General features: G+C 36.6%; 1 long non-coding RNA gene across 2 annotated transcripts in view; it reads left to right on the top strand.

The window, feature by feature from the left end:
- Nucleotides 1–17,683, top strand: part of LOC105370777 (uncharacterized) — a 556,255-nt gene that overhangs the window by 501,310 nt on the left and 37,262 nt on the right. The window contains exon 4 of one of the 2 annotated variants that reach the window (XR_007064588.1): nt 11,491–15,767. This is a non-coding gene — a long non-coding RNA (uncharacterized LOC105370777). Of the gene's footprint in view, nt 1–11,490 lie in introns of those variants that run through there. The other variant, XR_007064587.1, reaches the window with a different exon arrangement.

The raw sequence follows: 17,683 nt of genomic DNA, 5'->3' as shown, positions 1-17,683 counted from the left end.
TACTTTTTCTCAGACTGTAAACTCAGCATTATTTAGAATCTCTTCTAAACTTCCAGCATTCTAGGGTTCAAAAATATTTAAGTTTCCAACTGAAAAATAGAGGATTTATTTTGAAAATCTTTTTGGCAGCTTTGTCTGCCTACATAAAAGTTTTAGAAATCTTAATTGGATAATTAAAATATTTTATAAAGTTTCCTAGAAACACACCTAAATGCCTAAATGGCATTTAAAAATGATCAGAATGGTGATTATGGCCATTGGATCCAGAAATACACAATGTCAAAATGCTATAAACAACTAGGCTTGGCTGGGTGCGGTGGCTCACATCTGTAATCCCAGCACTTTGGGAGGGTGAGGTGGGCAGATCACAAGGTCAGGAGTTCGAGACCAGCCTGGCCAATGTAGTGAAACCCTGTCTGTACTAAAAATACAAAAAAAAAATTACCTGATCATGGTGGTGGGCCCCTATAGTTCCAGCTACTTGGGAGGCTGAGGCTGGAGAATCACTTGAACCCGGGAGGTGGAGGTTGCACTGAGCCGAGATCGCGCCACTGCAGTCCAGCCTGGGTGACAGAGCAAGACTCCGTCAAAAAAAAAACAAAAAAAACAAAAAACAACAACAACAACAACAACAACAAAAAAAAAACAAAACGGCTTTGCCTTTCCTGGGTGAGCAAAAGTGATGTACAAAAAGGAAATATGTGAACCAAAAAACATAAGTCGCCTAAGATTGATGTGATCCTTGACTTTTTAAAGTACCTGGGAGGAGAAAAGTGGAGAAATCAAATGAAGGCTGGCAACTGAGTATTTCCCACAAATGGGTGTCTTTTTTCTTTATTTAGTCAGCCTTCTTTCCTCACTACCATTTATTTTTGTTATCAATTAAGGTTGGGTACTAAGTTTCCAGTGTATTCATTTTGAGTATCAAATAAGAGAAACAACTTTGGCTGGTGGTCTCTCCAGATATATTTTATCAGCTTGAGAAGCAGTTCTAGAATATGTATTGCAGCAACCTCATTCTCTGACCCAAGCTTTGTGTGTTTTCAGACCATCTGTAGTGTACATGATGACATTCTCTGCCTCAATGTTGGTTATCTCTTTGGCAGATTGAAGTAGAAATGCTTAAGTTTTGTGACCTCAAAACACTGGAAACCTGTGATTTTCCTCTTTTTCAGACATACTAATACATTTCTCCATACATCACACTTGTTTCAGTTCTTTATTCTTGCACTTGATCTAAAAAGTCAACAATTAGTTAACTTTGGAAGTTCTTTGAGATTGAAGATGATAAGCCAGGTACTCAGTTCCTTGTTTGGGAAAATGGTAGTTTATAACTATGTTTCTGTTTAATTATAACTCCTTTCCTGATTATAAAAGTGATACCATCCTGTTGTTGAACATATAAAAGGAAAAAAAATCCCACCACTCAAAGATAACTGCAGGCCATCTAAGGTGTGTGTGTGCATGTGGGTGTGTGTGCATGTGAAGGCAGGCTGAAAATATGATTTTGTACTCCATATTGTACTAAATTATAAACACCTACTCACAGTACTAAAAGTAGTCTGTATAAATGATACTTAGAGGCCACATAATATTCCATTGTATGTTTATCCTATTAGATTGAGCCATATGGAATTGCCAGTATTTAATCTTTTAAACAACAAAAAATGTCAGTTTGATGTGGTTCAACTTAGTAAAATTTAAATTTTGTTCCCCAGTTATTGAACATCATGTCTAGCTTTGTCAAAATGTTTTTAAAAAGTTACCTAGGAACGTTCATGAACATATCTGTATTAGTTCACTTATTTAACCATTTCTTCAGAATAATTTCCAGGAAAAGAAATAATTGATTTGAAAGATAGAAAAATATGGAGGCTCTTCCACCTATTTTGAAATTGCTTGCAAAAGGGTTGTAGCAATTTATATTCTTCTTGACTATGTACCCTACTCTATCAATTTTACTCTACCCTCACAGAAATTGAGGATTATAGTATTTTTATCTCTGCTAATCGTGTAAATATTATATGCCATATTTCTTAACATGTCTATAATTAGCACATTTCATATTTGCTTCAATTTTTCCAATTTTGTTCAAGATGATAAAAACTCAATTCAAAAATATATGAAACTTCTTGAGAGGTAGGGCCCAAAACCTAAAATGGAATTGGGTTTAACATCATGATACTGAATTACTCTTATTACCCCAGATCCATGATAACAGACTGTCTTTAGTAAAACATAGGAAACTACAGAGATGCTTGCAATTGAATTGCCACTATTTTTGACTTATATGAAAAGGATGTCAACTTTCCTATTGTAATTAAGTCATTTGCATGCAAAATATATGCCTGGATTCCCCGTATTTCTTCGGTAGAGGAGATTTTTTGTTTTGTTTCAACCTCTTAAAGGATCAGTAATTTTTCTATCCTTAAAAGTTATTATAACAGTCAAATAAATGACATGCGCAGTTCAATTATAAAATGCTAAAAACTTGGGAGGTAGGACAAAGCAACTGTGTACAACAGTACCTGGAAATCTCACTGTCTTTTTCACTGCAAATCAACTTAGTTTTGTGGCTGTAAGTCAGGAATGGCACACCTTTATGCACAGAAAATTATGATATGTTGCATTGAATAGAAAGTAGGCCGGGTGCGGTGGCTCACGCCTGTAATCTCAGCACTTTGGGAGACCGAGGCGGGTGGATCACAAGGTCAGGAGATCGAGACCATCCTGGCTAACATGGTGAAACCCCGTCTCTACTAAAAATACAAAAAATTAGCCGGGCGTGGTGGCGGGCGCCTGTAGTCCCAGCTACTCAGGAGGCTGAGGCAGGAGAATGGCGTGAACCTGGGAGGCGGAGCTTGCAGTGATCTGAGATCGCCCACTGCACTCCAGCCTGGGCGACAGAGCAAGAGTCCGTCTCAAAAGAAAGACAGACAGACAGATAGACAGACAGAAAGAAAGAAAGAAAGAAAGAAAGAAAGAAAGAAAGAGGCCCTATTGTAATAAATACAGATTCAACTAATTCAGTTACTATGCACAAGATAATGAAATTTCCAGAATATTACAAATTTTAATGGTGCAGATTATTAAAACTGGGGTCATCTTGGAAATTACAAGATATATATAGCCATATAATAATACCATCATGTCACATTTCTGTACAGCAATGAAAGAAAATTTTTTAAAAAAATCTTGTCAATGTCTGTGTAAGCATGACCACATCATTGCCCTTCTTACCCTGCATCCAGCATTTCAATTAAGATTATCATGGTATGCCCAAGCGTATACTCTGTGTTTTTTCCTAGACATTTCTAATCCAGAAATTTCTGCTTCCACTGCTTCCACATCAGATAGGCCTGAAATTAGACTCTGTGAGGGATGAAGGCATCGATTACTAGGGTAGATGCAGTGGCTGCCCCCTCTCTCCAGGTACCTTTGGAACGGCTCTACCTTCACCACATGCATAAAGGAATTCTGACTACCGCTGAGCTCATGCTGAATATCCAGAAGCATGATGTGAGCCCACCACAGCCTGACTGCCAGGCTCTTATGTGAGCAGGGATGAAAATAAACAGCAGCACTCTCAAGTCTGCTAAGATATCTTTATTAGTGTCTCTTATGTAAAACATTTCCGTCTAAGATTTACACATGCCCAGTGATCCTTATATATATTGATAAGGGAAATTCACAGATTTTCTATGAGAATATTTTCTGTTTCCCTCTCAATGTTAACATTCAAAACACAAGGTAAACATGTTTAGGAATATATTGATGACCTTTTAATGGACAGTAAAACACACAAACCCATACATAGGTTTGCTGAATTCAAAATAACCTGAGCCACTTGAGTACCATTTTCAATATCCTGTTCGATTTATTACTTGGATGCCTTCCTTGTAGTTCACACCCTGCCCCAGTTCATTAATAGTACTTGAAAATCCAAAATGCAGACATTTTAAACTCCGGATTCCAGCAAAAATTACTTTAGATGTCCATTGCTGAAGATTTCAATTACATCTTAAAGCTAATCTGAACATCAGGCAAATGACAGCTTCACCAAGTATTCAAGTGATATAGCATTAAAATTGTCATTCTGGTATTGCTACCTTACAAAGACTTAGATTATTAGGACATCTGATTTTCTGGAGCCATCAAAGTGCTAGGATCATCAGTTTCTGTTTATAATGTTACCAAAACACCAGGGGTTCAGTCTAGGTCCTGCTGCTCACTGCACTGAAAGTCAGTCTCTGAGACTTGATTATTGCTAAGGCAAAAGGCTTTAATCGGGTGCTGCAGCTGAGGAAATGGATGATCAGAATCAAACCCATCTCCCTGGCCAAGTAAAATTAGGGGTCTATATAGCAAGAAAGAAATGTAACAATGCCTAAGAAAGCAGAAATGAGGGAGAGGTAAGAAAGGAATCCTGATGAATGAGCGATCTAGCATCTGATTGATTGTCTGGAGGGGCAATCTGGTGAGTTTTAGTTCTTTAATACTTGTTTTGAGAGGCCTGAATGTGTTTCCTGAAGAAGGAACTCAGATACAGCAAATGTAAGTTTCCATCAGGAGGGCAATTTCTGTTTATCAAAAAACTATCTATGGGACTATTGGGTAGATTTGAATACTACATATTTATACAAATAAGAATTCTCAACATTAGCATTACTTAAATCAAAATTAAGAAATATGTTGCAGACAGGACCAGAACTAAAACTACATCTTTTTCAATTAAACCACTGTGGTTGTGTTGCAGCAAAATACTATATGGTCATTTTTAATTAATGTTGCTTATTTTACTATTATTAATTTTTTATTTTGTTTGTATTAAATCCAAATTTCTTTGTATAGTTACATAAATTTTTTTAATATAAGGGATCTATTGCAATATTTATTTTGAATATGCTTACGTAACAATGTAATAAAAATAATTTGTGTCAAGGGAATACTCAGGTCTAGCAGAATTCATTTTCTTTAGAGTAAAGTGTATTACATTTAAGAAACACTGTATTAAATGAAAGCAAATATCTTACTTGGATATCTTCAGTCTAAGTGTAGCACCTTATGTATTGTGGTTTTATTGTCCATTCTCCACCTGAAATCACATTTTTCAGCTTTTTCCAGGCTTCCTACTTTTCATATTAGTGTTCTCAATTTTGGCTATACATTGTAATCACTTAAGTAATTATTAAAAGTTTATGATGCCTAGATCCCACCCCCAAGAGATTCTGATTTAATTGGTCTCGGAAGCCTGGGTGTCAGGATTTGGGAACAATTCCCTGGGAGGTTCTAATGTGCAGCTGAGGTTGAGAATTACTGCATTGCTCTGAAAGACTAGAAATACAGCATCTTTAAAGCTCATCCAGAAAACCCAAAAGGGCCCCTGTAGCCCATCCACACCACCAGAAGTATTGCCTTATAGAGCAGACATTTTTATAAAAGGCATCATCTCAGACTATATTCACCAGCTTGGAGCCACATGCTCCACAGTGACTTCTCTGCTCAGTGGTGTATATCACTGGTAATTAAGCAGAGAGGAAGCTGGAGTCACAAACGTGATATAGACAAAATTCTGAGAGAGTTATTTCAAAGATAAAGAAGGAATCAGTATTATATGAGAAAATTTCAATAATATTGAAATAATAAATCTATAGGAATCAATAATGAAATTTGGAAAATACAGAATCCCACTCAGACCTTAAAGATGCTGTTCAATCATCAAAGAAGAATATAAACATTATGTATTGCAATTTTTTTTGTATTACTCTCTGTTAAGAACATTGTTGCCTGGGCGCAGTGGCTCACACCTGTAATCCCAGCACTTTGGGAGGCCAAGGCGGGTGGATCACCTGAGGGCAGGAGTTTGAGACCAGCCTGGCCAACACAGTGAAACCCCATCTCTACTAAAAATACAAAAATCAGATGGGCATGGTATCGCACACCTGTAATCCCAGCTACTACTCAGGAGGCTGAGGTGGGATAATCGCCTGAACCCAGGAGGCGGAGGTTGCAGTAAACCAAGATCACACCACTGTACTCCAGCCTGGGTGACCGAGCAGAGAGAGACTCTGTCCCCCTACATGCCCCCCCAAAAAATAAAAAATAAATAATTGTTGAAGGCAATTTTAAAAAAAAGAATCTGTACTGAAGAATTATAAGCAGAATATAAAATCAAGTAATTGCTCTAGAGCATGAAAACATTATTTAAAAATCAAAGTGAATAGAAGAGGAAGATCTAGAGATCCTAGCTTAGAGATTTATTCTGACAGCTTGAAATGGTAGATAGTATATGATGCTGAATCAATCAATGTGATGGATATAAACTTTTCAGAATTGAATTTAAATAATGGCCTTTTATCTTTTTCTGTTTTAAGAAGACTTAAATTTACTAGGATGAAAGAATTAGAGAAAAGAGATAAAATTTAGTGTTAGAAGGTGGAAAACACAAGGTAAACGGAAGACCTTAAAACTAAATCATAAACCGGAAGAGCAAGCCAATTCACATGGCAAAACCTAGAAAAAGTTCAGAAATTGATGGAATCAGTTACCTTTGTAAGTGAATTCAAATGACTGCCTAAAATTATATATGAGAAGCATTAAAATTTGAATGCCACTTTCACTTAAGATCTAGAAAACTGCAGGTGAGTTTCATCTCATTCTAACAACACGAAAAAGCCAGATAATCTATAAAATCCGAAATTATCTTCAACCTATTATAGGGCTCACTTTGCAAGGCAACAAGTGACCTAAATTCTAAGTCATGAGTATCCCCTGTAAGAAGAAATGGAAAAGCTGGACTCTTTTACCTATGGAGATGAATGCCATACAAGTTAGAATAAAGAGACAGAAATTTTAATAAAACCTTTAAAGGGCAAATGTAATAAAACCTTAAAAGGCAAACGTACTCTATCGTGACAGTTTAGAATTAATGAGAGGACTAATAAAAGGAATATCTGCACTCACTACCTTTTTTTCCCATGGGCCTCCATTGGGTGCTCATAAGAAAGACTAGGAATGGGGCAGAATACCTGAAAGCCAGGCTTGGTGGCCAAACAACACTTCAGAACTTCTCTTTCACGAAAAACAAAAGACATAATCTACATAAATCTCTAAGAAAAAAAGGTGTGTAGGTGTTGGACCAAGATTTCATCATTCCTTTCTTAGTACTTGATAGAACAGTAGAAAAAAAAAATCAGTTCCTAGCTAACATGGTGAAACCCCATCTCTACTAAAAATACAAAAAAAATTAGCTGGGCGCGGGGGTGGGCGCCTGTAGTCCCAGCTACTTGGGAGGCTGAGGCAGGAGAATGGCATGAACCTGGGAGGCGGAGCTTGCACTGAGCCGAGATTGCGCCACTGCACTCCAGCCTGGGTGACAGAACAAGACTCCATCTAAAAAAAAAAAAAAATCAGTAAGGATTATAGAAGACTTGAACAACACTGCCAACCAGTTTGACCTGACTGACCTTTGCAGAACACTCAACAATGCAGAAAATACATTCTTTTCAGGAGTGCTAGGATCATTCACCAAAATAGACCATATGGTCTAGTGTAAACAATGTAATTTAAACAAAATAGGCCATGGAGACTAATTTAACCAATCATAAACTAGTTTCAAAGGATACAAAGAATACAAAATATTTTTCTGGCATGATGGATGCGTAATAGATATTTGGAATAACTTAATAGATCTTTGGAAAATTCCTAACACTTGGAAATTATACAACATGCTTTGAAATAACAGGTCAAATAAAAAACCATAAGAAAAAATAGTAAATAATTTCTAATTTCTGATTGAAAATGAAAAAAGAGCCTTCCATTTCCAAAATGACAGAATAAAAGCAAGCTGGTGTTACTCTTCCCCCACAGAAGAACAAAAACAAATATACAGCACTGAGATTATAACCAGCAATATCCCAAACTCACATATGAGAATGAGATAGTTCCTAAAGTCACAGAGAAGTAAAACAACTCCAAGTAGATAGTAAGAGAATCAGACTTCCATATCCACGATGCCCTTCCTTGCAATCAGCCCAGCGCCAAGTGCAAGGAAAATTTCCAGAGTCCTCACCATCTGAGTTTACTAGCAGGAGACCTGTCCCTGTATCAACCCATGGGAAGCATCAGAAATGTCTGAAGGGAGAAATATCCCTGAGGACAGCCAGAGACAAAGCAGGAAGACTACCATCCCCTGTTCAGGAAATTCTGATCTGTAACTCATCCAAAGGAGATGCCAAATCACAGTGGCTGTTCAGCAGCAGTATGGTGTAGGAGATTTGTTCCATAGGTCTCTGGGTACAAACCCCTAGCCAGCGATCTCATACTACCAGGATATTCCCTTTGAGACCTCCCATATTCAGGATGGACAGTACTCTGATAATTTATTAGAACCAAAGAAAATCTTGGCTTAGGGTGTCAGCTACTGTCTAAAAGGAGGAAGCAATCTAGTTGAAAAATTAAAAAGAAAGAAAATCAACAGGCAAATTACAAAGAACCTCTATGCAAACATATCCAGTAAAAGGCAAAATAAGCCAGACAAAATAGTCTGAAATAAATACTCCTTCAATGCAAGTACATAGACCTACATCCACAGGAAACAGTAGCAAACAGGGAAACATGACCCCCTCAAATGGATAAAGCAAGGAACCACTGACTAATCCTAATGAGATGACAATATGTAAACCCTCAACCAAAAATTCAAAATAGCAGTTTTAAGGAAACTCAACAATCTTTAAGATAACAGAAAAAAGCAATTCAGAAATTTCTCAGAGAAATTTAACAAAGATACTGAAATAATTTTTTAAAAATCAAATAGAATCTTGGAACTGAAAAACACATTTGCCAAACTGAAGAATTCTTAGAGGCCCTCAGCAGAATGGATCAAGCAGAGGAAAGTATCAGTGAGCTCAAAGATAAGCTATAAAAAATACACTGTCAGAGGAAAAAGAAGAAAAAGAGAATAAAAATAAATGAAGATCACCTAGAAAATATAGATAATTACCTCAAAAGACCAAATCCAAGAATTATTGGTATTCAAGAGGGAGTTTAGGAAGAGCAAGGAGTAGAAAGAAATAATAACAGAAATAATAAAAAATAAGAGAAATAATAACAAAATTTTACAAAACTTGAAAAGAGATAAAAATCCAGGTACAGGAAGGTCAGAGAATACCAAAGAGATTCAACCCAAATAAGACTAACCTGAAGCATACAATAATCAACCTCTCAACCGTCAAGGACAACAAGAGGATTCTAAAAGCAGCAAGAAAAAAGAAACAACATTTTAAAGAGCTCAAATTCATCTGGCAACAGACTTCTCAGAGGAAATCATACAGGCCAGAAAGGAGTGGGATAACATTTTTTAAATGGTAAAAGAAAAATATTGCTATCCAAGAATATTGTATCTAGCAAAGTTATCCTTCAAGTATGAAGGCATGATAAAATCCTTCCAGACAAACCGAAGCTGAGAGAATTCACCACCACCAGACCCATCTTACTAGAAATGCTAAGAATTCTTTAATCTGAGAAGAAGAACAACCAATGTGCAAAAAGAAAACATTTAAATGCAAAAAATCCACTGGGAAAATTAAGCATGTGGACAAACAGACTACTCTAATATTATAATTGTGATGTTCAATCCACTCATAACTCTAGTATGAAGTGCAAAAGACAAGTCTATTGAAGACAATAATACTTACAGAAACCTGTTAAGAGAAGGTAATATAAAAATACATAAATTGTGAAAACAAAGCCAAAATGAGGGGGCAAGGAGATGGAATTAAAGAGTAGAAATCTGAAAAATGTTTTGTTTATTTCTGTTCTTTTCTTTGTGATCAAAGGTAAGTTTTCATCCCTTTAAAGCAACTTGTTGCATCTATAGAATGTTTTTTGTAAGCCTCATGGTGAGACCACAATGAAATGACCTATAAAGGATTCGCTAAAAATAAAAGGGAACAGATTAAAACATTCTACTAGAGAAAATCACCTAGCCACAAAGGAAGACAGTAGGAAAGGAACAGAGGAGTTCAATAAACAACCGGAAAACAAGCAACACAATGGTAGTAATAAGCCCTTACTTATCAATAACAATGAATGTAAATGAACTCAATTATCCAATTAAAAGGCATGGAGTTGCTGAATGGATAAAGAAACAAGACCCAATTATATGCTATCTACCAGAAAGCCACTTCACCTCCAGAGACACAGACTGAAAGTGAAGGGGTTTCCATGGAGCTGGAAACCAAAAAAGAGCAGGAATAACTATACTTATATCAAGAAATGGACTACAAATTAAATACTAAAAGACAAAGAAGATCACTATATAATGATAAATGCTTCAATTTAGCAAGAATATGTAACAGTTCATAAATATCTATGCACCCAACACTAGAGATCCCAGGTATATAAAGCAAATATTAATAGATCTAACAAGAGAGATAAACTTCAATACAATAATAGATTTCAACACCCCACTCTCAGTATGGATAGACCATCCAGACAGAAAATCAACAAAGAAACATCAGCGTTAAACAACACACTAGACCATAGATACGACATTTATAGAACATTTAATCCACCTGCTGCAGAATATGCATTCTTTTCATCAGCACATATAAAATTCTCCAGAACAGACAATATATTGAGCCACACAAGTCTCAGCAAATTCAAAAAAATAGAAATCATATCAAGTATCTTTTCTGAACACAATAGAATAAAACTAGAAATTAATAACAAGGAAAACCTCAGAAAATACACAAGTATGTAGAAATTAAACAACATGCTCCTGAATGACCATTAGGTCACTGAAGAAGTTAGGAACAAAACTTTAGAATTTTTAAAAACAAATTAAAATGGAAACACAACATACCAGAATCTATGGGCTACAACATGCACAGTACTAAAAGAGATGTTTGTAACAATAAATATCTATGTCAAAAAAGTAGAAAGCCTTCAAATAAACAACTTAAGTGATGCACCTCAAGGAATTCAAAAAGCAAGAATGAATCAAACCCAAAATTAGCTGAAGGAAATAAAAATCTGAACAAAAATAAATAAAATTGAAACTAAAAAACAACATAGATGATCAATAAAATGAAAAGTACTGAAACTAAAAAAGTAATTAATGTAATTTTTATATCAACAGCCTGAAAAAAAGGATATGATCTCCTTAGATGCAGAAAAAGCAAAATTCAACACCCATCTATAATATAAGAAAAACAGAAACAAACGAAAAATTCTCTCAGCAAACTAGAAGAAAGAAAATTGCTCAATCTGATAAAGGACAGCTTCAAAAATCTGTAGCTAATATCAGACATAATGGTGAAACACTAAATTCTTTCATCCTAACAGCAATAAAAAAGCAAGAATGTCTGTACTTATGACATGTATTTGACATTGTGCTATATGTACTGGCCACTGCAACAACACAGATTAAAAATAAATAAAAGGCATACAAATTGCAAAGGAAAAAATTAAACTTTTCTTTATTCATAGACTTCATTGTCCACCTGGTGAGTCCCCAAAGAGCTAACAAAAGGCACTGGACCTTGAATATGACAAGACCACAGAGTAAGTAAAAGGTCAAATATAAAATCAAAAGTACTTCTATATTCTAGGAAAAAACAATTGTAGTGACATGATCCAATTGAGATTAAAAAAAAAAATTCTGGTTAACTGTGAATCATGGCAGGTGATGGCATACTCAGAAGAAGGCCATTTAGGAAAGTTCAGTATTCCAGCAGGTGGTAATGATCAGTTGGCCTGGAGTGATGATGGAGGTGGAGAGTTGATTGATTCCAGAAATGTTTAAGAAGTAAAATCAATGGGATCAGCAATGGATTATTCATGGGAGAAAAGAGAGGTGTTAAGGATCACCATTTTGCCTGGCTTTTGTAAATGGGTGAAAGATGATGCAGTTCACCGACGAAAAAATTCTACAAACAACAACAAAAAGAAACAGATTGGAAACAAAGGTCATATGTTTAGTTTCAGATACAATCAGCCCAAGGTACCTTTGAAACTCTAAGAGAAATCAGATATGCCACTCAGAAGACTTGGCTTAAAGTCATCTGCACCTACTTAAAAACTAGTTGGGGAGTGTTTTACTTCCAATTATGTGGTCAATTTTCATGAGGGGCTTAAAACCTAGATGATGGATTGATAGGTGCAGCAAACCACCATGGCACATGTATACCTATGCAACAAACCTGCACATTCCGCACATGTATCCCGGAACTTAAGTAAATTTGTTTTAAAAAATGAAACAATATTAAAAAAACTAGTTGGGGTTCAAATCACCTAGGTAGAAGTATAGAATAGAAAGAGAATAAAACCTGGGATTAACCTTCCAAGAAAGCAGCACTTAAAGGCTGCGTAAGAAGGATAAAACTGGGGAAGAGGAAAAAAGAATAGTCAGCAAGATAGGGAACAAAGACATTATTTGTCTTAGATGCTAAGAGAAGAACGAATCATCAAAAACTACTTATTCTGAAAAACAGCTTCCAAAAATTATGTGATGTGATGAATTAAGATTTAATTCAAAAATAGGAGCAATTATAGTGAGGAATAAAGTTGGTTAAGCAAAGAGGGATGAATACGTGAAAGTAATTTTTTAAATCAGAGATAAAATCATGCAGGTTGTGCTTTTTTCAAAAGAATTTTAGATTCTGTTTAACGCCTTTACTTGCCCTAAATTCTACTTTGTCTGAAAATAATTTTATTAATGCTACTTTATTTTCTCCCAATTATCATCAACTTCCAATTTTTAAATCTTCTCTTCAGGTCTTTCTTTCGTAGTCTCTTTTGTTGCTATAGTTGTAACTGTAGAAAATGTTTTGAATAAGCCAAGGAATGGTTTAGAGGGGAAATAAAAGCCCTTGTTTTGATAATTAGATAAATATAGAAGACATTAAACCAAATGTTTGCAGTGATCATTTCTGGGTGTTTAAATTTCATATGGATTTTATACCCATCTGTATTAACTAAATACTTTAAGATAAATGTGTATTACTTTTTATATTTTAAAATATGTCATAAAGTATTAATTTTTTTTAAGGAGACACCATTTTCCACCTATTTTTCTTATTCATTGGTTTACCCTTTTTGAGTTGTCTGTTACAGCGTTTTTCTCTTTTTCTACTGGGTTGTTCTTTTTCAAACTTTTCTAAAGCACTCTATATATTAGGCTTGATATCTCTATATATTGTGTTTATTACCTCTTTTCTGTTACACATATTTATGTTTTCTCCCAGTTTATCATTTTAACTTTATTCATATCAGTGGCCATATAAAAGTTTTAATTTGTATGGAGAAAAATCTGTCAATTTTTTCCTATGTGTCTTGTTGGTACATATCAACTATTTTAATAGTGAAAATAAGGGTAATAAATTCGTAGCATTATATATTTGCATAAATTGTGACACAACTATGAGCATAAAGCAAACAAAAATTATTTAGCAACATTTAAAATGTTTACAATTTCTCATTAAGAAATATAGTAACTGCAAACATTGTGATTCAGTCTTTTTACTATATAAACACACAGGAAATGAGGACTGAAAATGGATAGTTATCTTTGTGCAGTTTAATTATAGAAGATATATTCTGTATGCTTTTTTATATTTTTCAGCTTTGTTTCCTGCAATGTACAGAAAAAAAATGGCTTTTATAGGAAAAAAAATCTTCAAAAGTCATTTTAAAAATAAAAGGACATATATGAAAATGATCATAATGATATACAAGATTAAGTCACTGAGTGGATAAGTGGGGATTAAGGGAAAGAGGCTATTTAGGATGCTTCTAAAATTTTGAATCTGGACACCTAAAAGTATGTCCTTGACAATTAAAGGGTATGGGAGGAGATCAAAATGAGGAAAAATTGAAGAGTCCTGCCTTACAAATGTTGAGTTTCTGCTGACAGTGCATTGTCCACGTATGAGTCATTTGAAAATGTAGAACTGGAATTCAAGATGAGAGATACAGATGTAAAAGTCATAGGAAAATTAGTGAAACATGAGCATTTTCAGAATAGGTAATTCCAAAAGGAGATCTATCAAGAGAAGGAATTTGAGGCCAAATCCTTAAAAAACAGTAATGTTCAAGGGAAACAAAGAGCATCTTCTATGGTCTGAATGCATCCCCACAAAATTCATATATTAAAAGTTATTTGCCAATGTGATGATATTAAGATGTAGGGCCTTTGGGAGGTGATTAGGTCATGAGGGTGGAACCCTTGTGAATGGATTAGTGCCCCTATAAAAGGATTCAAGGGAACTAAGGCTAGGCCCTTCTCCCTTTCTGGCCCTTCTGCCATGTGAGGACATAGCATTAGTCCCTGCTGAAGGATGTAGCAACACAATGCCATTTTGGAAGCAAAGTCTGGGCCCTCACCAGACTCAACCTGCCAGCATCTTTATTTTGGACTTTCCAGCCTCCAGAACCATGAGAAATAAATTTATGTTATTTATAAATTACCCAGTTTCTGGTATTTTGTGATAGCAGCACAAACAGACTAAGACAGTACCTGACAAAGGGCATAGAGCAGGAGACACCAGAGCTGATGAAAGAGAAACTGAATGGCACAGACCTGAATTACCCATCTTGTGGATGATGAAGGTAAGAAGAAGGTCTCAAGGAGGAAATAGTGAGCACATAAACATGCTGCTGTGGTTAAGAATATTTAATTTCTGCTTTCATACTTCTAAGTAGGAATCCCTATGGCAAAGTGCCCCATCATCTTTCACCCTAACCCTAAAAGTCCCCAACATAGCCTTTTTATCCTCCTCCTACCTTCAAAACCTACAACCAAGATATATATATATTTTCCAAATTAAGAATAACAGAGGAGTGCTTGGGGGTGGAAATCAGGGAGTTAATTAGGTGGTGCTGGGGCAACAAAATTCTATGTTTAGAGAGGGGAAAGAGCAACATTTGCTCTTGTCTCCTGGCACCTCAATACGAAGAGCTGGATTTCTCAACAACCTTGGCCAGATTCTATGAAGAAATGAAATAATAAGGAAGAGAAAAGCGCCTAAGTAACGGCAGAAAATGACCGAGTTGCCCCTTACTTAGGAAAGTATGGAAGATAAGAAGTTCTGTTCTTTGAAGACCCAGGTCAGGGTAAAGACATCTGAAAGTCCTTTCATGAGTCCTTAGTGGAAGAGAAGAGAATCACTTCCCCCTTGCCAAGAGCATTCCTCAACAGGAATACCAGGCATTGCTGAGCAGCTCTGAATGGAGTACCAAGCCCCATGCCACTCCAAGGGCTGGGTCTGAGTGACTGGTAGTAAATGCCGTGACGTCAAGGACAAGCAAGGGAATGCTTCTCTTGTCGACACAGATGGCTGGATGTCTTGTTTTTCATGTTGTTTTTTTGTTGTTGTCATTTTCTCACCCATTACAGATGAAGAGGAAGGACGAGGACTTTTTCTTTTTTAGGAAGTTAGGGAAGGATCAAGCTCTCTGAAGGAGAAAAAGATAGAGTCAAAAAATTTGAAACTTTTAAAAAAATATTAGCTACAGAACTAAAGAAAGAAGAACATAGATCCAGAACTGAAAACAAATTTTAATGTTTTACAAATGATATTTATGAAGGAAAAATTGTTTTACAAATAAATATGTACCTGTGCCAAGATGACATAACAGACCATTGTCTGATTGGATATGTTATTAATTTTTCTGAAGACAGAGCAAAGGAGTCAAAGATCAACCCCTTTGATACCACTTAAGCTAAACTGAAGGTAAAGCAAAAAAAAAAAAAAAAAAAAAAAAAACTCAGGATAATAATTGGAGAAACAGCTTCCTTAGGAAAGAAGAGCTCATACATTTTTCTCTTAAATCCAAAATGAAAAACCAATATTAAAAATGGACAGAAATTTGATTTGTTTAAAACCAGAGTTGCTCTTGGAAACAAGTAACAAGGACAGTTTGTTCATTGCAGTAGACCTAATAAATTCAAGGAACCAAATGTGTAATTGGAAGTTTGTTATCATTTGGAAAGATCTTTCTTTTTAAAAGCACAGGCGCCCACCAGCAGTAGGTTGGTGTCAAGCAAATAGCCAAGCCAAATAGCGGTGACTTACTCTTTGGCTTGCAGGTAATTGGGGCCATGAAACCATTTTTCAGAGAAGTCCAAACCCCGTGAGGAATGCCTGGGAGGAGGGAATAGAGCAGGGGAGGTTGGAAGGGAGGTGGTGGGGGTCACAATGAACCGGGAAAGAACACCAGTACACGTATTGGGATTAGGGACAGAGAAGTTTTACAACTTTTGAATCTAAAAAAGACAAGTATTTCTTAAGCAGACATTGATACGGGAGATGATTTACAATAATAATAATAATAATAGATATTTATTAAGTGGTTGGTATGTACCAGATAGCATGCTAAGCACTTTAAATGTCATATTTAGTTCTCAAAACAACTCAATTTTATCGATGTAAGTTCTGATTCTCAGTAAGATCAAGTAATATGCCCACATCATGTAACTAGACACAGAGCCAACAACTAAACCCACATCTGCCTGACTTCAATATCACGCTTATTAAACCCCCGCCTCTTCCCTACCACATGCTAAATGAAATGGAAAGGGCCGGGCGCGGTGGCTCAAGCCTGTAATCCCAGCACTTTGGGAGGCCAAGGCGGATGGATCACGTGGTCAGGAGATCGAGACCATCCTGGCTAACACGGTGAAACCCCGTCTCTACTAAATATACAAAAAATTAGCCGGGCGTAGTAGCGGGCGCCTGTAGTCCCAGCTACTTGGGAGGCTGAGGCAGGAGAATGGCGTGAACCCGGGAGGCGGAGCTTGCAGTGAGCCGAGATCGCGCCACTGCCCTCCAGTCTGGGCGACAGAGCGAGACTCCGTCTCAAAAAAGAAATGGAAAGGTTTGTCTCAATTTTATTTTCGGTTTCTGAGATATAGCGAGAGCTGCCTCCTTATCCCTTTTCCTTGTGGAATTCACCAAGAATAGGAGGATTCAGTAAAAAGAGCCAAGGCAAGCTCCTGTGGCTAGGGAAGAGGCAGTCTGAGTTTCTCCTTCTTTTGAGTCGTGCTTATGTTATTGGTGTTTCTCATAGTGGATATTTAAAGCAAAAACAGGTAGGTGTATTTCAGGATGTATAGTTTCAATCAACACTCTTAAAGCAGGCAAAGGAAGAGATTATAAATCAAGCAGACCTGCAGATGGTCCCGTGGTAAGAAGCTTCAGGGCCATCTGCTAATGCTCAACGAATCTCCGTGTCTCACCACCCTCCTGACCACCAAACACATCGCAATGCTCCTGTGGTAGTTCAATTTCTCCTTTGATGGCTGCAGAGAGAAGTTGAAAAAAATATCCCACAAAAGTCTTTCTTCTTCTTTCTCTGTCCCTTCAACTCCAAGAGGAGACTGAAATCAAGGAAGAAATCCTTGCAGTAGAAATCAACATAGTACCACATGCAGAGAGTTCCTGTGTCTATGAAAAGTGGAAAGATCAACCTACACACTTGTCCCCCCGCCCACGTCCTGGATATGGACTGTAGGCCCTGCTGCAGCTCCTGTCCAGCAGCCCCCTCCACCTGGTACTCTCCACCAGGGCTCCAGTAACTCCTCCCTCTGTTTGCCCCTTGGAGGTGGCAGTGAAAATGCTCCCCACCCTGAAGGCTCCCCATGGCTTCCCTGCACTCTGCCCACAACTTTGACGATAATTTC

The sequence above is a fragment of the Homo sapiens genome, chromosome 15 (assembly GCF_000001405.40).
Source record: "Homo sapiens chromosome 15, GRCh38.p14 Primary Assembly".
Classification (NCBI taxonomy): domain Eukaryota; kingdom Metazoa; phylum Chordata; class Mammalia; order Primates; family Hominidae; genus Homo; species Homo sapiens.
Note: the sequence above shows the minus strand (reverse complement) of the source record. Positions and strands in the feature narration are given on the sequence as shown.